The sequence below is a fragment of the Homo sapiens genome, chromosome 4 (assembly GCF_000001405.40).
Source record: "Homo sapiens chromosome 4, GRCh38.p14 Primary Assembly".
Taxonomy (NCBI): domain Eukaryota; kingdom Metazoa; phylum Chordata; class Mammalia; order Primates; family Hominidae; genus Homo; species Homo sapiens.
The window spans coordinates 164,167,865-164,192,319 of NC_000004.12; the positions used below are offsets into that span (position 1 = coordinate 164,167,865).

Here is a 24,455-nt window from a genome sequence, read left to right on the forward strand (position 1 = left end):
GATTTTCTGGATGTCACATTAAAAGCTCAGGCTACAAAAGCAAAAATAAATAAATGGAACTACGTCAAACTAAAAAGCTTTTGTACAGCAAAGGAAATACTCAAAAAATGAAAAGCCAATCTAGGTACTCGGAAAACATATTTGTAAAACAAACATCTGGTAAGGGGTTAATATTTAAAATTTATAAAGTACTTTTACAACTCGATAGCAAAAAACCAAACTGATTGAAAAATGGGCAAAGGATCTGAACAGCCATTTCTCCAAAGAAGACATAAACATAGCCAACGTGTATATGAAAATGAAAATGTACTGAACGTGACTAATAACCAAGGAAATACAAGTTAAAACCACTATGAGATATCACCTCACACCTGTAAGAACAGCTGTTATAAAAAAGATAAGAGATAGCAAATGTTGGTGTGGGTGTGGAGAAAACAGAACCTTAGTGTATTGTTGGTAGGAATGTAGATTGGTACAGCCATTAATTAAAAACAGAGCTACCATACAACCCAGTAATAATTTTTCTGTGTATATGTCCAAAGGAGATGCAATCACCACCTTGTAAATATATCTGCACTCTCATATTCATTAAAGCATATTCACAATAGCCAAGATCTGGAAAAAATTTTAATGTCATATATCTGTGTGTGTACATATATATACAGTCTGTGTATACACACACACAATAAAATGTTATGCTATTTGCCACATCAATGATGGACCTGCAGAACATTACGCTAAGTGAAGCAAGCCAGACACAGAAATAGAAATCTTGCATGATCTCACTTTTATGTGGAATACACACACACACACACACACACACACAAACACATAGACACTCCTACAGTTGACCCTTGAGCAATGTGAGGGTTAGGGGTGCCAACCTTATCCACAGTTGAAAATCTGTGTATAACTTTTTACTTCCTGAAAACTTTACTACTGATAGCCTACTGTTAACTGGAATCCAATAATATAAAGTTGATTATGACATCTTTTTTATGTTATATGTACTGTACAAAGAACTTAAATACAAAGAGATAGAAAATTTAACAGTGGCTACCATTACCACAGGGTGGGGAGGCATGGTTGACAGACATAGGTCAAAGGATAAAAAGTAGCAGCTATGTAGGATGAGCCAGTTTAGAGATCTAATGTACAAAATGAAGATGAAGTTAATAAAACTGTTTTGTATTAAGGATTTTTGCTGGATACGTAGATTTTAGCTGCCCTTGTCACAAAAAAAGTAACTATGTGAGATAATAGATATGTTCATCTGCTTCATAATAACCATTTTACTATCCCATATCATCATATTGTAAACCTCAACCATACACAATACAATTTCTTTAAAAAATTAAAGTAAACTTAAAACATCAACCTGGGGATAGACTTCCATCAGCCTACTCAAGACCCTTGCCTTTGAGGTGCTCCTTTTGTCTCTTCCTGTATTTCTCCTGACACCCTTATTTCATGCACAAGATGATAAATATGTAGGCATGTTAGGTGAGCTTGTTCAGTCTAATAAAACTCCAACTCCATCACAGTCCAAATGAAGTGTGAAGCCAGTTAAAGGCTTTTCATCATTTCCTCACTTATATAATCAAGTTATCCAAAAAATCTTACATCAAAATGCTGAGGGTTTTCAAAAGACAGACCATAGATTACCAAGAAAATAACTAGTTTCTAAACATGGTCTTATTTTAAAATGTGTTCTTTTGGGATAATGGCAATTCATAAACCCCCAAAAGAGAAATATATGTTTTTTAAAGTATGTAACATTAAATAGTTACAGAAGCAGAGAGCTTTCAACATATTAAAAGCTCTCTATAATTTAATGGTTTTAAATCATTTAAAGTTGAAAATTATACAAAATCATGACCACTCAGGACTGTGGACACTGGTGCCACATTGCTGAACCATGAGTAACTTGACCTTTCATGGTTAACATCTTTACTTGAGAGAATGACTCACTCACTTTATACCTTATATATCATCTTCAGCCAGAAAACACAACCAAGAGATTTAAATCCACTTGGTGAATTAAAAATCTATCACTTTTGCAAAATATCCATTTACCCTTCATTTAACAACAGTAACTCATGCCATTTTCTGGCCAGTTTTTCTTACTCTTACTGCTCTCTGTACTTCCAGCCTGCTTAATTGGACTCAGGTGTATTTTGAAAGCCAAAATTCTCAGCTATCTTCCCACAAAGGCAGATGTACAGGGAAACCACCAAAAAGAAAAAATGAAAGGATAACACCTTAGGTCCTATGAATATGAGCCAGCTCTTAGAATTAAAATTTAAATTTTCCATAAATTTGATGAAAATAGTAAACACATCTCAAAAAAATTTAGTATGCCATTCTAAGAGTTGAACTACACTGTCATGGACACAGAGCTTTAGCATATTTTGCAAAGGTCTACTTTTTCATGAAGCTTAACAGGTATTAACTGCTTTTAATGAAAATATCTTTAGAGTTTGTGATAAATGGGTGGTAGACTTCAAAACCTGTTTTAGCTTATATACTCTCAGACTTATAAGGGACATTATTATTGCCATCAATAATATTATCAATAAGTGTTTATTGAGCCTGCATCAATATAATGAGATAGCATTATCTTTTACAATCACCATGGTTGTAAAGATTAAATGAGATAATATATGTGACAACGCCAGGCACTTAATAAATGTTTACTAAACATTAGCTTACTTATGGTTCCTTCCCTCAAAAAGCCAAGAGTCTGTTAGGGTTGCCCAATAAATTCTTGACCATAGTGAGATATTTCTATGATTTTGGTGGGAGAAGCCTTCCCAATGACGCTATGGGAGTAGGGAAGGGCAGAGTCATTTAAATCTGATTAGAAGAAATTATACTTCAAATAAATTTCGAAGGACATATAAAAGTTAAATAGTAGGAAAAAATTTATTCAAAACTAATGGACGAAATCACTGTGGAGGTGAGAAGAAATGTGATCAGAACACTGGAGAGAAAGCCATTACAATATCCTGGTTGGCATGTTACTCATGTTCACAGGTCACAAATATTCATGAGTAATTATGACGGCTCCTATGTATGTTAACAAAGGCATCAAAGAAAATCTGACAAAATTAATTTAAAATGGAATAATTAGTTATTGTTGGTTACTTATGGAGACCCCAAATTGGACAAAAACATGTTTTTCATTTTATAGTAACCAACATATTTAAATATTCATTTTTTATCATTCAATAAATATTGCAATTAATTGAATGCTAAGTATAGACTACCAGAAAAATGTCTTATGCATGTATTTGCACTTAATAGTACTTTTGTCCTTTTATGAACATCTTTATTTTATTATTTATTCCAATAATTCCTTTTCAGTGTGAATACTGAAAAACTTGTAAATTCCATCATCATAAGTGATACAAAGAGCATGTGATTATTCATGAGCTTGAGTGTTTCCATTACTATAAGTTACTGTTAACTTGGAAAAATGACTATATAATTAAGCAACATTAACAAGAATAATATAGAGTAGTAATATAATACATATTTGTTTATGTCTACCCACTTGATTTGAAAGTGTATGGCTTGGTGCCATTGAATTATCAAATGTTTATCATACTACGTAATATTAAGTGAAATAAGTGATTAGAAGATTATAGTAATGATTCTCAAATAATAGTTAAAACTTTTAAAATCAAAGTTATTGCACCATTAAAAGAAAAAAGTAGGAATACATTATTTTTTCCAAAGGTTATTAAGGAAGGCACACAAATTACTAGAGTACCAAGCCTTAAATGAATTTAAGTACACTTTTAAGGAATAATAAACTAAAAAATAAAACTTATCATCAAGGTCCTCAGTATACTGACTTTTTCTGTCATCCAAATGCCTCATCTCATTGGAAACTGGGCTGAGGAAGAAAAGGCATTCAGCCTTTTAAACTTTGGTTCAGAAGATTTCTCAACAAATATTGAAATCTAAGGTTAAGGAAACAATAGTAATACAGGAAATCCAATATTTCTTTCATTTTTCAATTATTCTATTAAGAATGACATTTTGATTTGACCAAGTTTATTCCATTCTGTTGGGTAAAATGTATAGTTGAGCGCTGTCCTTCTGGCTGGCACCCAGGTCACTACGTCATAGCCCGTCTCTCCAACATGGGGTAGAATTAAGATGTCAAACCACAACCTCTGTGGCTCAATATGGAGTCTTTACACTAATCATGTCTATTTACCCATCCTCAGATCCTCCTTTCTTGGCTACCCCTCATTTTCTCTAGTCTATAAGAGCAGAAACTATGACATCATCTATGTGACTTCATTATTTCCCCAGTGCCTAGAACAAAGAAGATGAGTGAATGTGTTTAATAAAATAAAATGAAAACCTATAAACAAATTAAATTCTTGTTTATGAGATTATAATCACTTTATAGGTGGTAAACAAGGTATACCTTTTCTCATAAACAGGAATTTGTTGATAAGCTTCAATTTTATTTTATTAACTGAATTTACTTATCTTACTTATCTTACCTTCTTTGTTCTAAGCACTAGGGAAAGAATGAAGCCCCTAGACGATGTTATAAAATATTAAATTATAGACAGAAAGATCTTTGCAAGTTACAAGTTATGTACGTCTCCCCTTCTTAGTTACATACACAGAGATGCACAAATTCATTATCTTGATCCCCACACAAGAATTCTTTTAAAGAAAATTAAAGGATAAAAATCAAGGTAAAAATATATGTAAATAAATATCTTAAAGTAATTTTAGGAAGTTTAAAAGAATTATTTTTTTGTGTCAGATTATTATAAAAGGACACTTTAAAAAAGTCACTACAGGCTGGGCGCGGTGGCTCACGCCTGTAATCCCAGCACTTTGGGAGGCTGAGGCGGGCAAACCAAGAGGTCAGGAGACCGAGACCATCCTGGCTAACACGGTGAAACCCCGTCTGTACTAAAAATACAAAAAATTAGCCGGGCCCACGTGGTGGCGGGGGCCTGTAGTCCCAGCTACTCAGGAGGCTGAGGCAGGAGAATGGCGTGAACCCGCAAGGCGGAGCTTGCAGTGAGCCGAGATCACGCCACTGCACTCCAGCCTGGGCTACAGAGCGAGACTCCGTCTCAAAAAAAAAAAAAAAAGTCACTGTAATAGTTACTTCACAGAATTCTTAAAACTGAAATCTAATGGAGTAAAAATTTGTTAAACTACAATTTGCAAGTTTTGAGTACAAAAGAAACCAAATACGTATTTCCAAATATTTAAGTTTTGCATTTAAATCAACACTTAGACTTTCTGGAACCATTAAACACACATTCCAGAACAGATTAATATTTTGTCCCGGAAAATAATTTATTCTTGAAGTCTATAGTAAGAACGCTGATGGCAAATATAATTTATTTAAAAGATGATCAATAAAATTAACAATTGGTTATAATTTGGGCAACCCGATTTTATTTGCTCCAAAATGCATATTATTATGACTGTTTTTTCCAGTTATTACTTTCAAACCAAAGATGAGTGAGGTTGACTACTTGTACTGAATGTCATAAGTACAGATTACTTTTACAATAGCAAATCAGACAAATTGTTAGATTAAAATAATAATGGCAGACGCAATTCAATATTGTTTGGATGTGTTTCCCCTCCAAATCCCATGTTGAAATGTAATCTTCAGTGTTAGAGGTGGGGCCTGGTGGGAGGTGTTTGGGTCATGGGGGTAAATGACTCATAAATGGCTTGGCACCATCCTCACAGTAATGTATGAGTTCTTGATTTATAAGATCATGTGAGAGCCGGTTGTTTAAATGAACCTTGCATGTCCTCCCCTTTCTCTTGCTCCCTCTCTTGCCATGTGACATGTCTGCTCCCACTTTGCCTTCTGACCTGAGTGGAAGCTTCCTGAGGTCCTCACTAGAAGATGCCAGAGCCACACTTTCTGTACAGCCTGCAGAATCGTGAGCCAAAATAAACCTCTTTGCTTTATAGATTACTCAGCCTCAGGTATTTCTTTAGAGCATGGCAAGAGCAGACTAACACACAATTCCTTTCCTTTCCGATTCTTAAAACATGTTTCCCAATTTTATAAGTGCCATTCTATTGTTAGAAAGAATAGCCAGGGAGGTTAAAAAACAAAAGGTAATTACTCTGTAGAAATCGTCTCACACTATAAGGTCAACAAACTTTCTAAAACGTGTCCATTAGAAAACACTAGTCAATACTTCCTTCTGAATTAAAATAAGAAATTTCAAAGATAATAAGGGTATTCTTCATGGCTCACCACATGCTGAGATTCAATGTGCAATCTTGAGCTTTATGTGTGACTAGTCCATAGTGAGAGGTGGGAAAAAACAATAAAGAAAAATCACCTGCATCAAAACTGACAAATTTCACTATAACCTCTCAGCTTCTTGGTTGCCAATTACACAAGTAAAAGAGTGTTATGTAAGTAATGGGGTTGATTGAAGTGAAGTAAATACAGGGCTTAAAAGTGAGCATTTCTAGAAAATATTGTTTCCTTCCTAGTTTCCTTCCTTCTGCCCTTTCTAAAATTATTTATTAAGCACTGCGCACCAGATGTGTCATTCGGCATTAGAAATATGACTGTGATGTTGCTCAGAAAACAGAAAGGACTGCAGGGTGATTGTGGAGTACAAGTGAGGAGTGGTACGAGATTAGGAAGGCTGGAGGAGCAGTTCAACCTGATGGTTGTATCTACTGAGATTGTTTCTCCCAGTTTTCTCTCTCCAGGTGCTAGAAAACTTCAGTAGTCAGTGTTTTGATTAAGCTTATAGGGATTCATTTTTTCTATTGGGTTAAAGGTGCAAGGGAACGTAATCTTATGTTGTTCTAATATATTTGTTTTAAAATAGATGCATTATTTAACAGTAGTAGATAGTTGTATAGCTGTGCCTAATACCTACATAAACCTCTTTAAAAATACCACAAAAACGAATTCTGGTAAATTATTAAGATAAAAGAGTCATGCTTTTTATAAGCCATTACTAATTAGCTAATTGTTCATCATTTGGGGAAGAGAGTTTTTTTTGTTTTGTTTTGTTTTTCATAAAAATTGGCTATGAGATATCTTGGGTTCATCCAGATGGTGTATGTAAGGACAAAAACTGTAAAGCCTTCTATTTAGGATATGTTTTGAACTGTGAGCAGAGCAGAAAATCCTTAATACATACTGTAATTATCCTAGTTCTACTTCTTACTATCATTGTCACCCTACACAAACCTCAACCTATTTAAGCCTTAATTTTCTCATCTTTATAGTAAAGATAATATATGTCTAGATTTGTGCAAATGAAATAACAAATGTGGATTACTTGATATAATGGCTAGTAATTAATTCACTGCAATTATGACTTTTTATTACAAAATTATCCACAATTGAATTATCCACAATTGATTTATGCATCTAAAAAGCTAAGAAAATTTAAGCCTTCAGGGTATAAATCTAGACATAAATATCCACAACCTTGCCCCCTATCTTCCCATAAGTGGTCACATTTGTTCTAATGGTAAAATTGAGGTCTTCTCAATACTATTTCCTTTACTTTTTTTCCCAAGGCAATATAATTTCTATATAAAATTAATCTATGATAAGATTCCATTATGATAGTTAATTCTATGTATCAACTTGGCTAGGCCATGGTACTCAGTTGTTCCGTCAAATCCCAGTCAGCTGTTGCTGTGAAGGTACTTTGTAGATGTGATTGACATTTAAATCAGAAGACTCTAAAGTAAAGCAGATTACCCTCTGTAATGTAAGTAGACTTAATCTAATCGATTGAAGGCCTTAGGAGAAAAGACTGAGGTCCCTAGATGATAAAGGAATTCTGCTTCCAGTCTGTCTTCAGACTGAAGACCGCAGCACTGACTCCTGCCAGAACTTCCAGCCCACCACGCTGCCCTGCAGCTTGGGGCTTCTTAGCCCCAGTAATCATGTGAGCCAATTCCTTACAATCTTTCTCTCTCTCTTTCATCCCCCCACTCCCCAACACATATGCATTATCTTGGTTCCGTTTCTCTGGAGAACCCTAATACACCCCTGTAATCTTTTCTAAATTGTTTCTATTTGGACCTCAATAACCTAGCACTATTCCTAAATTTAGCAATCAGTCCTCATCAAGTCAATCATCAAAAAAGCAACCTACATTTGCTGGAATATGGGGATAAAAATGATTTTAAATATCAATCTATTGATAAGAAATAAAGAAATAAACTCAACACCTAAACGTTTCCAAAGACCTTTGAATATCAAAAGGTATTATTAGTATGGCCTGAAAATCCCTCATAACATCTCACTTACCTCAAACCTTTACAGTTACTAAGGCAAGCCTGACTAAATACAGTCACTGTGACAGAAATGCCAAGGGTCGCATGCAACAGATGTAATCATTTTATACTTGGTCTTCACTGATGTAGTGTTAATTACAATATAGTCATTGGTGCTTGCCACACGCACAGACATAGAAGCAAAATAGTGTCAAATATTTAGTATCATACAGCACTAACAAAAGGTATCAAATAGATCAAACATATTTGCTATGGATGTTTTTTTCTGTTCAGACTGATGCATATCACAAGGGAAAAAAATAGTCATCCCATTTTTAAATGACTTCAGGTAACACCAAACCCCTTAGCAATCCTAATATTTAATTGGCCTAAAATTAACTCCCTAGTGACAAAAACGATACAGGAGTACAGAATTATGAAATCAGAGAACCAAATAATTATCAGAATTAATATGCTCCTACCCTAAGAATTTGGGAATCTAAGATGCAGCTTTTCTGAGAGGGATAGAGATAGTCCATTTTTGTGTTGCTAATTTTATTTTTTTTCACACAGCTGCCTCATGGAAATATCATCATTAGATCCACTAGCAGGGGCTTTAATTTTATAGTCCTTCTATGACACTAAATAACCAAGCAATAGGTTTCTCAGGAAACACACTGAGTGTCTGAAACAACTCACTCTGTGAATAACCATCAGGCCTTCTGATTCCTTAATTTTATTCTTAGATTTTTCTTGATTTTTTTCTTAAATTCAATTTGTTATTTATCTGAGTACCTTGTGCGCTCTCTCTCTCTCTCTCTCTCTCTCTCTCTCTCTCTCTCTATATATATATATATATATATATATATATACAAATGATAGAATTAGGCATGTTTCCTATCCCCATGGAAACGACAGCTTAATTAAATGATTTATGCAGTCTTTTCTGATATATTCCTTCATATAGCCCTTAATAGTTTCAATCGTACTGCAGTGAAGCTAGACAGGAGTAGGACATTTGTGTTCTTTTGTGCTGTACCTCTGGCATCTGGAACAATACTGGCACATAGAAACGGCTCATAAATCCTGACCAAGTGATTTGATCAATGAATAATCTCACATACACTATTTTATACAAGTAACTTTCCTATGGCCAAAAGAGAAATCCTTTTGTAAATAATAAGACCAAGATGTAAAGAAGTAATTTACCAAAATCACACAATAAATAAGGGACAGAACTGAACACAGAATCGAGGTTCTTTGATTCCTCAGCTGCTGCAATTACCATGCACGGAGAATTGCATGGCTTGTGAATGACAAAGGAGATTATTGTGGAATGAAGTCAATGTCATCTACTCTTTCAGAGACTCAATATAGATTTTTTTTTTTCTGCTTTTAAGATAAAACTAAGGACAAGTTCTTTTTCCTCTAACAAGGTAGGTTTTTTAATGGAGAATGCAGACTTACTGGATATGAGTTAAACAAAAGCAAACTTTAATATTGATAGCAGTAAGTGACATACTTAAGAAGAAAAATGGATGGTCCCAAACCCAGGGAAAACAAAGGGTTACACCTTTCATAATTTCAGGTAAAATGCCATGCAAACATGCATGCAGATTTCTCTCTCTCATCTCTCTCTCTCTCAATCTCAGTGTGTGTATGAAAGAGACACACACACACACACACACACACACAGAGAGACAAAGAAAGACAGAGACAGAGAAAGAATGTGGCTAAAAGTGTACTTCTGCATGTGTCAGATCACAAGAAGCACTGCATCTGCTTTGGTCTGAGAGAGACAGTAATTCCACCATCATGAACCTGAGGTACAACAATTTGACAATCCGTCCTAGACAGAATGTCACTGAAATATGCTCTTTTATTGATCTATAACAGAGTACTGATGTGCAGCAATGGTCTTATTTTACACATAAGACCTCAGTTTTCTGAAAATGCATCCTTGAACCCAATCACATTCCTAATTCAAAAAACAGTACATATATCTAAATTCAAATAACTTCAATATAATCAAGTTACATCATCTTGTTTGTAACTTTGGACCTAGTGGTGTCAACTACTGTGTACTGTCTTGTTAGGAAAGGGGTAAAGTCTTTGTACCAAGTAACTTTAGTTTGGAGATGCCTAACTATCCACCTGCTCAACCTTGATACATCCAGAGTAGACAGAAAAGCCTCTGGACAGAGGTGACTCTTAAACAGAGGCCTGACTGAGGGATACATAAACACAAGGAGAAAGTGCAGGAGCAAAATTATGTGTCCAGTAAAGATCTGGGCTCTCTGCAGGAATATGGAAAAGTCAGGCTGGTTGCAGGAAAGAGTGCAAGATGGATATAATGTATGTGAGGTTTCCTTACCTCCCTTAACAATTTTAATTAATGATGTAACAGAGAAACAATTATAATTGGGTCTGTACTTTCCATCAGATCTAAGGAGCTCAAGTTCCTAGATTAAATCACTGAGTACTGATGGTACTGTTTGGTATATGAATACTTAAATATCACTACAGTGTTAATTACTATGCCATATTTGGATGGGTTCGTGTTTTCTCTCTTAAAATGCAGCTTAATGTCTAATAATAATAAAATTTTGACTTATTTCAAAAATACTGGTATATTTAACTATAGTAATTAAATTAAAAATATGGCTTGAGCTTAAAAATAAAAATATAAGGAGAAGATAATCATACAAAGGCCTAGGGAAAATGAAAATTACCAAAACAGGAGAAGTCTTTCTCCTATGAGTTGACAAACCTTGCATCATAGTTGTTGGTCTTTCTTCCCCTAGAACCACCCCAACCCCGAGATGAAATGATACTACCTGGAGAAAAAGTTCAGGGCTGCAGTTTATAGAGAACACCATGTGGCACGCAGACTCTCCCTGTGTTGGCGGGCAGTGTGGTTGTGGGATGAGACTACGTTCTCCTCCTCATACTGTTGCTGACAGTTTTCTGTTTCTATAAGTGGTTTATCAATGAGCACTGAGTTTGCCAGGGGCATAATCCCAGGGAGCAGAAGGAGCTGGTGATGAGATAGAGGGAGATTATATTTTTCCACCTTTTTAATGGAACTCTGTAAAGGAAAGGCTGTGGTTTCCTCTCTACACCAGTACAGGATTCTGCACATAGTAAACTCTTATTAAGCTAAAATTATTAAAAAATAATAGACACCATTTGTCACTAGCTCTGTATTGTGATTTCATTTAGCATTAATTTCTTATAGCCATATTCTTATGACAAAGTATGTAATACTTGAACAAACAAAAGAAAATAGTAGTAAGTTTATATGGATTAGTAAATAATACACTAATACAATAATATTGAATAGTTTCAAAAACACAATATGCTCCTAAAGCGGTACAGAAACCACTGAAAATACAATTTGCCTAATTAATGTCAGTTGATGTAATAAACCTCCCTTCAAAAAATTAATTACTTGGATTTAAAATACATACACACACATACATATAGAGGCTGTAAAGGGCACCTTAATGAAAAAACTTTGCACATTCATCCTTTCCTATAGGCTAATATAACAAATATCCTTTTTATAAGATACCATTAATATGTCTTCTCATTTGTAGTTAATTACTCTCCATCTGGCAATATCTCTTTTTTAAAAAAGAAAATTTTGATTTGCATAAAAACAATTAGATGATCTATAACCTACAGTAATAATAAGCAAGTCAGGAAAAATACTGAGAAGAAAATTTTGCTCAGTCTAAGAATATGTTAATAATTTCCAGAGGGAGAATTTGAATACTGGCTAAATGTTTATGGCAAGGATATACTAGGAAAAAATTAACTCCATACTAGATGGTAAAACTTCTGATGTTGGACATTTGGGTTCATTCACCACTGACTCTGTAGCAGTGACTTATCTTTGTACTTTGCAAATGCTGATTTTCTTGATTGAAATTACAAGACTTTAATAAAGGTCATATCCTTTAGTAGTGAAAGCACTGAATTAAAAAGACAAATAAAATTTTCCCAATGTTTAATTGTGAAAAAATTTCATGATTAGGCACAGGGTTATACATTTTTTAACGCAGGAATTTATATTGAATTATGGCTTCTGCACTGATAATTTTATTGGATGTAATAAATATAGAGTTATTAGATAAATTCAACATGTGCTGAATTTAAAGAATTTTATGTCACTTGAACTTTTACATAAGTGTTTGTAAAATACTCTTGCCTAAGATGGAAGATTAGTGCAACTAACCTTTCAAGAAGGTCAATTATAAAAAATTGCTACCTAATAGTATTCTAGCTGTCCATTTAATGTTCATCTAATAATTTTAAAATTATGTTTCAGAGTTGCATTGACTGAAAATTATATGGAGCTTGGTAATGATAAAATATTTCAAGGCTGAAGTTTTATTAAAATACAAGAATTGGCATGGTGCTCCTTTACTTTTTACCAAGGGAGGGATTATGCAGCAGAGGAGACAGTGATATATCATCTTTAAGCAGATAATGTTTTATTTAGGTCAAGACAGCTGAATATGAGTCTGGGCATCCAAAATTCACCCTAATCCTCAGAGACATTTATGTTAATAATCTCTTGCAAGGCACTCTAACTCTTACTATTTTGTAAGATTTAGTAAGTAATAAGTAATACAATTTAGACCAATGTAGAATTTAGTGTTTAAGGAGAAAATGCCATTAGAACTGCTACATCCGCTTGCCATCTTTATCTCCATTGCTCTAGTCCAACCTGCCATCTCTCACCTGAACCATGCAACAGCCTTCTCACTAGGCTACTTAATATCCATTCTAGACAACATTTACCTTCCTAAAACTTGTTTTCAATTCTGCAACCAGAGAAATCTTCTCAAAGTAAAATTCTCATCATCTCATTTCCTTATTTAAAATCCTATTTTACTGGAGTCCCACTGCTCATAGGATGAAAACAAAATCTTAGTAGGTCTTGCAAGCTCCCACAGTGTGGGGTCCCCATTGCCTCTCCCACTTTAGCCACCTAAGCCTTCTTTAGCTCCTCATACCCACCAACCTTCTCCCTCCACAAAACATTTGTGTGAACACGTCCTCTGCCTAAATACATTGGCCTCCTTTGACTAATTAACTCCCACTCTCCCTTCAATGTTAGCTCCCAAATTAGGTAAAAATTTTCTTTTTAAGGCTTTCATGGTCTTGTGTATCTTTTTGTATCATATACACAAGACACACACAATCATATATATGTATACACACACAAGCGCATTATATTTGTACACTATGTATGTCTAATTTTTAGCACACACTAAGGCATAATAAGTTATATTAACTATGTTCAAGAACTACAACTAATTTCACGCTAGGGAATAGACAAAGAAAAGACTTCAATTTGAAGACACAAAAGTGGCATTCTAATAAAATTCTAAAATCTTACAAAATAAAACCCCCTGAAATAGTACCATTCCAAGTTATTTATTTCCATGACAGTTTTTTGATAACTTTTCTATAATGAGCAGTGCTAAATTATGATGCTTCTTCGGGAAGGTGATTATATTTTTAGTACGATGAAATAGATGTGATAAGCGCTGCTTAGAACTTGACAATATAGTCCTAGCTCAAAGATTTTCTATAAATAAAATTATTCTTCCTTAGATTTATGATCTTCTTTTTATATTGTGGCAACACAGTCCATGAACTACTGTTATTTTTAAATTTGGTTTCAAGTTAATGTATTTTAGCTAAGGACTATGCCACAGGTTCTTGAAATTCTATTTTTAGTATCACATTATAAATTCTCTGAATATAGACAAAATTAAATCATTTGCCAGTGTCAGCTTTTTCTCTTGGGACTCAATCATGCATACAACCTATAATAGACAATTCATGCTGTACAATTAGAACTTCAGGTAAAAGGTAATTTTTTCTCTTCTTTTTCTCTGAAATTCATTAACATAAACTAATGAATGAAATTCACAGATAAACATTACATTGACAAATAATTAAAAGCTATGAAACACTAATAGGTTTTTCCTAAAGACATTAATATGTAGACATAATGTGGCTCCCTCTAGATCTCTGTGCTCTTCTCTAGACCACATAGTGTAATCGGAGCCTGACATAGGTCAATACAGTGAATAAAGATAGAATAATTTAGAAAAGATTTAAAAATATAATCACTAAACTTGACTAATAAATATATAGCAATTTTTAAATATTTCTATAAAATATTTTCAAAAACAAAATTGACCTTGTTAAGGTCAAAAAGCAAGAATTGTACAGAATGCATTTTCTAAGGTAGGTATATAGGTATCAGAGAAAACAAGGCATATTAGTAAGTAAAAAAAGCAACTTGCAAAGAAATATAAGTTCATTTTTCTCAAAGAATATCATCTCTCTCCTTCCTTCCTTCCTTCCATCCTTCCTTCCTTCTATACATGTATCCATAACATATAATATATACACATTGTTAGTGTTTACATGTACATTTATAAAAGCGTCTGATGTATGTGCAAGAAAAACCAGTTACAATACTGTTACACAGATTTTACAATCATATATTTTAAATTAAATAAATGATTCTAAATTAAAAAAAGAAGAAGCTTCCCAAGTCAGCTACACAGTGATGCTCAATATATGCAAGACTCCTGTTATTAGAAATTAGTAATTTGATATTCTTTATACTTTTCCAACCTCATATTTTTCCTCTGAAAATTTAAGTTCACATTTTTGTGCTATACTTAATGGAGATATAAAATATCTAGACATAAGACTTCTTATTTTAAAGAAAAACCATTCATGTCAAATGATAGAGTCTCAGAATTTGAAGTGACCAAGAGATCAAAGTGTAAATCCCTTATTTTTAAGCTGAAGCATTTAAACTTAAAGACTATTACCAATTTAGCCTTAACTTCCCTCAGCCTAATATTAAAAAGTTCTAGTTCTTATACTTTCCTCTTATTTTATATTTTTACAACTGTTAACTTTTTCCATTCTCTAATTGTTTGATCACTAAATTTTAACAGGTTATATGACTTCAGGATTCAAAAAGTAAAATGTTAAAAAGCAATACACATTAAAAACTCACCTCAAATCTCTATTCCCATCTACCCAATCTAATTCAATTCACTCTACATAATCATACTTATTATTGCCAAATGAATGTATGATTTATCTTTTAACTTTCCCAATGTAATGCATAAAAAGTGGTATTTGAGAATTATCTGTTCAAATCTTTACTTTTTGATCCACTGAGTATTTGGTCTATTTCTTTATAATCTTTTGTTTGTGATAAGAGTAGAAAATCTTTTCCCCATTTTTTCATTTACCTTTTGACTTTGTGAGATCTGTTGCTATGTAAAAGCTTCTAATTTTTATGTGGTCAAAAGCATCAATCTTTTCTTTCAATTTTCTTAATTTTGAATTCCAGAAAAGCCTTCTCACTCTGTGGTTATAAATAAATACCCTACGTTTTCTTCCAGAAGTTTTGTTGCTTTGTTTAAATGTACATTTTTAACTTTTGGAGCCAAAATTATTCCAGGCTGATGCCATATACCACACATAGTGCTGGGTGATGCAGCATTGACAAGATAAGCAGGTAACCACCATCATGGAATGTAAAATACAGCAGAGGAAGAAGCCAACCATAACCCGGATTCAAATAAAGTGCAATGGAATTCATGAGACATAAAGGTCAGGATTGTATGGGAGCATATAACAGGGACATTTAATCAAGTCTAGGAGAGAAGAAAAGAAAATAATCATCATGGGAAAGTGACATTTAGGAAGAGGTAGGAAAGAAAACTACTGGTCCTTAGTCCACTGAAGGAGGAAGCAGAGGAAAGAGGCAAGAAGAATGAAAGTGCTCCAGGAAGAGGTTCGCTTTAGAACATTCCAGCCTCTTGGAGTACAATCTTCAAAGTCTTGTATGAAATCTATAATTCCTTGGTGGGAGGGAGGCAATAATGGGAAAACATAAGAAATTTTTTAAAAACCCTGAGGTTCAGATATAGGTATTGCTCGATACAACAGTGGCAGAAACTCATAAAGTGTAAAGCTGGTTTGCTCAACACCACAATATGAGATTTTACAACTTTTTCCCGATATAATTCTTCAGTTTTCCATTTACAGTTTCTATCCCTTCACTCACCCCATTGATTATAGGTACAAATTTGCAAGATTTGATTTGAAATAAACTGAGAAAACAGTATCTCCCTCAAATATTATCTATATGCTTTTGCCACATACCTCTTTTTCAATCTTTCCATATCACCTATTTGGTGAATAGTTATCCACTTTTAGCTTCCACATTGAAGAGAAAGTAATTCTTTCTACCAAAAGAGTTACATGTCCATTGTTACATACACAAAACACAAAAGGATACACTCTGCACTGATGGACGTGGATTGTGTCTGAAATAAAAAGGGTTATACCAGTTAAATAGTAGCAAGAAGTCTGCCTAACCTATTGATAGAAAACAAACCTCCATAGAAATTAGTTGATAAAGACTCATACAGAATAATATGCTTAAACAATAACATAATCAAACATGAATTCCCTTGGTGGTATGGCCCGTCAAGTAATGATCAACTCCCAATGTTGACCTGACCATTTGAGATACACAGGAAAGGCCCAAGCCTCATCAGACCTGTCCTTGTAGTCTCAGCTAGCCATAATGCCTAAATGTAATTCCAAGATTCTGAGTGATTATAAATGGATCCTAATACCCAAACCTACATAGAGTATGTTGTCTAAAAATATTGGTACAGCAAAATAAAAAGAGCTCTTTGGATGGCTGGTAGTGACAGTGGCACAACTAAGTGAATGTACTTAATGTCACTGAACTATAAAATTAAAAATGATTAAGATGGTAAATTTCATATTGTTTGTATCTTATCACAATTTTAATGAGACATAAGGATTTAAAAATCAAAACAAAATTTTAAAAATGTGCATTAACAATATAAATATGTCATTCTAGACAAACTCATTTTATTTTCCTCACAAAATTCTTTAAGAATTATATTTTGATGCCCAGGATGTGTGTTGGGAATGGGCAAAAATATCAGTAAACCTCAACTCTGATGGTGATTTGTGTTTGTATTTGCTGTATGTTGCATTAGCATACTACATTAGTTTTAGCTAAGACTCTAATACTAATATTTTCAGATAAACATTGTAACACACATAAGGCATCTGAGTGAATGGTTATTTTTGATTGAATTTGTCTTTTATTTAAAAGACAAAAATATTGCCATCACTATATCCAATAACTTCATTTGGAAAATTTCTTTCCACACTTAACCAGTCTTGAGTCCTGCACATGTCAAATAAGTTTTATCTAATATGTTACCATATACTAGCAAAACAGGTTTTATTATAAAGTAATATATACTGCCAGACAACATTAAGTACTGAGAGACATAAGGATTGTTGAAGAGCAATATATTTCTACGATTAAATTTCATGTTTGTTTTCATGACATCTGAGGCTCACTTATCTAAAGGAAGAGCTATTAACTCAAATATTTGCTACAAACTCTGGAGAGTTTGAAAGTAGACTTTTTTTCCCATTGAGATAAGAAGATACCTATATGATCTATACAAAATAAATTACTTATTTTCAGAAAAAGTAAACACTAAAATTGCTTCTAAATTGTAGAAGATATTAAAACTAGTCACACACACACACACACACACAAAAAAAAAAACATTTCAAGACAATATTTAAAGTTCTTAGCAAGAGTCTATGATTTTATTGAGGGTTTAATAAGACAAATGCCAATTTCTGGTTTGGTTTTGAGATGGAATCTCGCTCTTGTTACCCAGGCTGGAGTGCAGTGGCGTGACCTCGGCTCACTGCAATCTCTGCCTCTGGGTTCAAGTGATTCTCCTGCCTCAGCCTCCAGAGTAGCAGGGACTACAGGCGCCTGCCACCACAACCAGCTAATTTTTGTATTTTTAGTAGAGACGGGGTTTTGCCATGTTGGCCAGGCTGGTCTCGAACTTCTGACATCAGATGATCTGCCCGCCTCAGCCTCCCAAAGTGCTGGAATTACAGACATGAGCCACTGTGCCCAGCCAATTTCTGGTTTTAATAATCGTTGAAAATGCAGTAATCCTGAAGCCCCATAATCACCAACGTGAATAACGTGTTAAATTCAGGATCTCCTTGAGGGTAGAAAAATTGTGTCAACTAATCATTACTTTGGTGAATGGCTCTCTTTTTTAAAAAACCTGTCATCCTCAAAGAATTGATATCATTTAGCCATGCTCTATGTGATTCTATTTTGTAAAAAATTGAGAACCAATACACTGCTCACTTCCAACTTTCTACTACTTACTTTTATTCAAGCAGCAATGCACTCTATGAGCCAGTGCAATCTTTTTGGCTTCTATTTGGAAGGGTGACTTTTGTGTTATCTGACCCTACTGTTCCATTCTTAAAAGCAGAAACAGTATGATCTGAGGTGAAGAGGAAAAGCTCTCCCACTCCCAGTTAAAAACTCAGATTTTGCTCAGATCTGTCTTTCTGTACTTTCTTAGTGACAGAAGCTCACATGAATAAAAGCCTCAGGGCAATGTTGAGCTATTTAAGAACTCTAAGTTTTGAGCTAAAGACCTCTGAAGAGTTCATTCTTATCTCCTACCATTTAATTAGCTAGATATTATCAGGTTCTTTGTAATATAATGGTTATTCTTAAGTACGCTACCTGTGGACAGGGCATTGAAGGTGTGTGACTAAATCCCAAAATTAGAGAGGAATGTAACCAAAGACTCTAGGTTAGAGCAAGGATGTCTAAGGTGTCGAAAGTAGTTTCCATGTTTGTGAATCAATTATTTATAAGTATTATTACTATTAAAAGCAATATGACTTGAGATGGTATCAATTGCCTTCAACTATGGCTGAAGCAATCTTTTTTTTTTTTTGCATGAAATGCACATAATCTTCTGATCTTGCTCAACCCTCAACATCTGCACACCTTTTATGGGCACCGGGTGCACTTGTGTGTTAGGGAGATAGTCTCCAAGAATTTGGTATTTCTGCTCATCCTCTAAGAAAAAGGCATTGACAGCTTTGTTCGAGGAAATCTACAAAGCTGTTGTGGGGACAGGGAGTAGATTTGCTTATGCACCAGGGTCATAAAACTAGGTCTGCCCCCCTCCTGGAGATGTTCCAGGGTGATAGAGAAAGGGTCTCCCTCTGGATCAGAGGCAGATTGGTTTCCTGACCAAGAAAATATGAATAATGTCTTTCTCTAAAGTGGAGGATGAGCAGGTTTGCTTGAAGTCCCCTTATAAGTCTGGATTTCCAACGCTCCTCAGTTGTGGCACAGACCCGCCATGTGTATAGTATCTACCCAGGCTTCCTCCACATCGCCCCCATAGGACCTGGGGGGATGGGGATTTGATGTGAACTTGAAGCTCATGCTGTCTGCTGTGCTGTGAGTAATAAACAGCTACATCATTCGGGTGTGTTGTCTCCTCACTGACTGAATCTATGGAAGCCTGGCAAGGGCAACTGGCAGCTGCAATATTTGCTGCTGCTTAGGTTCTGCTTGAGCACTTGACAACACGGATCCCAGTTGTAGGTAAATAAAGAGAAATCAATACAACGTTTTTAGTAATAAAAATAAAGCATAGCCTTTAAAAGTGACTAGTCACAATTGTTTCATGTAATGATAGGAATTATATTATTTATAACTATTTTCATCAACATAGGTCTATTCAGCCTTGATGGCAGACAGCTTGTTTTGCATGTCACTTTCCCCATCTTTTTTTGACTCTTTAAATCTCAAATTGGAAAATCTAGTAAACCTATAAATTATTGTAAATGGCAATTATTTCTAACACTGTGAAGCCCTTCAGAATACTCAGATTGAACATGGGCTCAGAAATTCTGAGTGTTTTCTTATAATTTTCCATTAAGGGCCATTTCTAGCACTCCTTCAAATGCCAAGTCAGCGAGCAGGGCAATTAAAACTCGAAAGCCGAGGGCGACATAGAGAATCCACATCTGATTTTTGAATGCCTACAGTCCCAGAAATTATTTCTCTCTGCTTTTGCCACGTTTGGTTGTGTTTTTTACATACGATCAAGTATATATACACAAATACTTTCTCGATGCCGGCCGAGACAGCACAGACAGACCGACCGACCGACTGGGGTGTTTCGCAATTGTGAGAGGCGGGTAACCGCGCTGCGCTCCTGTGCTGCGGCCGGTGGCTTCATTGCCTGCGACGCCCTGCCTCTGCTGCCCGACTGGCTGGCAAGATGAAGCTCTCCCTGGTGGCGGCGATGCTGCTGCTACTCGGTGAGGCGTGGTTCGAGGACAAGGAGGAGGACGTGGGCACGGTGGTCTGCGTCGACCTGGGGACCACCTACTGCTGCGTCTGTGTGTTCAAGACCGGCTGCGTGGAGATCACCGCCAACAATCAGAGCAAACGCATCACGCGGTCCTATGTGCCCTTCACTCTTGAAGGGGAATATCTGATCGGCGATGCCGCCACGAACCAGCTCACCTCCAATCCCAAGAACACGGTCTTTGACGCCAAGTGGCTCATCGGCCGCACGTGGAACGACCTGTCTATGCAGCAGGACATCAAGTTCTTGCGGTTCAAGGTAGTTGAAAAGAAAACTAAACCATACGTTCAAGTTGATATTGGAGGTGGGCAAACAAAGACATTTGCTCCTGAAGAAATTTCTGCCATGGTTCTCACTAAAATGCAATAAACCGCTGAGGCTTATTTGAGAAAGAAGTTTACCCATGCAGTTTTTACCTTACCAGCCTATTTCAATGATGCCCAATGCGAAGCAACCAAAGATATTGGAACTATTGCTGAGCTAAATGTTATGAGGATCATTAACGAGCCTATGGCAGCTGCTATTGGTTATGGCCTGGATAAGAGGGAGGGGGAGAAGACATCCTGTTGTTCCACCTGGGTGGCAGAACCTTCAATGCGTCTCCTCTCACCATTGACAATGGTGTCTTCGGAGTCGTGGCCACTAATGGAGATACTCATCTGCGTGCAGAAGACTATGACTAGCGTGTCATGGAACATTTCATCAAGTTGTACAAAAAGAAGACTGACAAAGATGTCAGGAAAGACGATAGGGCTGTGCAGAAACTCCAGCTAGAGGTAGAAAAGGCCAGATGGGCCCTGTCTCCTCAACATCAAGCAAGAATTGAAATTGAGTCCTTCTATGAAGGAGAAGACTTTTCTGAGACCCTGACTCAGGCCAAATTTTAAGAGCTAAACATGGATCTGTTCTGGTCTACTATGAGGCCTGTCCAGAAAGTGTTGGAAAATTCTGATTTGAAGAATTCTGATATTGATGATGTTGTTCTTGGTGGCTCTACTCGAATTCCAAAGATTCAGCAACTGGTTAAAAAGTCCTTCAATGGCAAGGAGTCCTCCCATGGCATAAACCCAGATGAAGCTGTAGTGCATGGTGCTGCTGTCCAGGCTGGAGTGCTCTCTGGTGATCAAGATACAGGTGACCTGGTAGTGCTTGATGTATGTCCCCTTACATTTGGTATTGAAACTGTGGGAGGTGTCATGATCAAACTGATTCCAAGGAACACAGTGGTACCTACCAAGAAGTCCATATCTTTTCTATAGCTTCTGATAATCAACCAACTGTCATAATCAAGGTCTATGAGGATGAATGACCCCTGACAAAAGACATTCATCTTCTGGGTACATTTGATCTGACTGGAATTCCTCCTGCTCCTCGTGGGGTCCCACAGATTGAAGTCACCTTTGAGATAGATGTGAATGGTATTCTTCGAGTGACAGCTGAAGACAAGGGTACAGGGAACAAAAATAAGATCACAATTACCAATGACCAGAATCACCTGACACCTGAAGAAATCAAAAGGATGGTTAATGATGCTGAGAAGTTTGCTGAGGAAGACACAAAGCTCAAGGAGTGCATTGATACTACAAATGAGCTGGAAAGCTATGGCTATTCTCTAAAGAATCAGATTGGAGATAAAGAAAAGCTGGGAGGTAAACTTTCCTCTGAAGATAAGGAGACCATGGAAAAAGCTGTAGAAGAAAAGATTGAATGGCTGGAAAGCCACCAAGCTGCTGACATTGAAGACTTCGAAGCTAACAAGAAGGAACTGGAAGAAATTGTTCAGCCACTTATCAGCAAACTCTATGGAAGTGCAAGCCCTCTCCCAGCCACGAAGAGGATACGGCAGAAAAAGATGAGTTGTAGACACAGATCTGCTACTGCTGTAATATTGTAAATACTGGACTCAGGAACTTTCCTTAGAAAAAAAATGAGAGAAGTCAAGTCTTAAATGTAATTGGAATTGTCACCTCAGAGTGGAGTTGAAAATGCTATAGCCCAAGTGGCTGTTTACGGCTTTTCATTAGCAGTTGCTCACATGTCTTCAGGTAGGGGGCAGAAGAATTGGCCATCTTAAAAAGTGGGTAAAAAACCTGGGTTAGGGTGTGTGTTCACCTTCAAAATGTTCTATTTAACAACTGGGTCATGTTCATCTGGTGTAGGAAGTTTTTTCTGCCATAAGTGATGCCAATAAATGTTAGTTATTTGCACTGGTCTAAAAAGAATACTTTCCCAAAGGAAAAATTTTTAGAGAGACTATCTGAGAATGTCCAACTTTTGACTGTTGAGTTTCATCTTCATATGAAATCCTTTTATATTTGCATGATAGGAAGTCTTTCTCCTTCAGTCTTGAAGCAACAGGTTCAGACTTTTTAGGGCAGAGGACACATTACTGAGCTAGCCACCTGGGCATGTCTCTTGAAATCATGGTACCCCTTTTTGTACTTTTAGTATCAAGAAGCAATTGTTTTTATTGTTGTTTCTCTGTTGTTATTGTTGTGTGTTTGTTTCATTGCAAACACTCGGGAAATTATCTTTCCCTCAATGGTCAGCTGACCTCAGGATAGATCCACAGAATTGTGCAAATCTCTTTGCATACTGAAAAGAATGTCATTGTCTGACAGTGATTGGATCATAATAATAATTTTCACCATTTTCTTCAACATGCAATGTAAACAAGATTCGGAGTATGGATTGAACGTCGATGCAAAATTCTTTATTAATTAAAGTAAGCATGTTCTTTCTTAATCCTCATATAGCTGAAGTTGAATCACCATTGCATACCTCCCTTATGCTGTGTTTGCACAAATGCCAAGAGCAAATTCATACTCTGCATATTAATTGATTACTACAGCTATAAAATACAGTATCTGTTAGAATACATATTAGAAAGTAATTGCTTTTACAGAATATGTCATTAATTTAGTGTGTCATCACGCATTGTTATTTAACAAAGAAATGTTGCCAATAACTCATTTTGTTTTCTCTCTGAGTATAATATTTGTAATTATCTTTGCAATTGTCTCTACAAATTTTTTGGAAATAGTATCATTTATTCTTCTTTTTGCTTTGAGGAATGCAAGTTTGAATGATGGCTCTAAAGTTGTGTGTCTTCTCTACAAACAATTATGGCGTTAATCAAGTTTGTACAGGGAAATGTAATTTTGCACTTGTTCTGAAAAATCACAATTTGGCAAAGTTTTATAAGTAATATGTTAAAAACTCGAGGCAAATGGATTGTTGGAATCCAATATAGTCTAGTTTTCTGAGAGTCATACTTCTTACTTGTCCCATTTTTAAATGGATTTCTTTGAAATCTCTACAATCACACTTGCTGACAGATACATATTCACATCCTATATTTTTACTCAAATCCTATTCATGATAAATATTTAGTATATCATATGTGTTGTAACATTGTGTTTCTATTCTTATCATTGTAATTATGACTCAGGAATTGCTTTTGGGACATTAGTTTATCTGGGGAAACTAGTACTAGAACACGACCAATGGTAAAATATGACAACTTAAAATTTAATAAGCCTACATAAAACAAACCAACGACAAGAATAATCTCAAGAACGATTGTACCTCACTAAGTAAATATTAGGTAGAAAACTGACATTGCAGTGCATTCCCAAGAATTAAGAGCATAATTATTACTAAAAACAGAACAGAATTTCTATAAAGATTATCTTAATTTGTAAATAGCTAAGTATACGATTATATTTATTCATAGTTTACTCTAAAAGTTCATAGTGTCTGTAACCAGGAATTTGTTGATTATATTTTAAAACAATATTCTTTTAAATTCATACATCATTGCTTTACTTTCACCTTAGGATTTAC

At 35.4% G+C, this 24,455-nt stretch overlaps 1 protein-coding gene and 1 pseudogene across 5 annotated transcripts in view; one reads left to right on the forward strand and one right to left on the reverse strand.

Annotated features, from left to right (window-relative positions):
- Nucleotides 1-24,455, reverse strand: part of MARCHF1 (membrane associated ring-CH-type finger 1) — an 859,722-nt gene that overhangs the window by 643,567 nt on the left and 191,700 nt on the right. The gene's annotated exons all lie outside the window — the stretch shown is intronic.
- LOC100288073 (heat shock protein family A (Hsp70) member 5 pseudogene) lies at nt 20,369-22,769 on the forward strand (annotated as a pseudogene).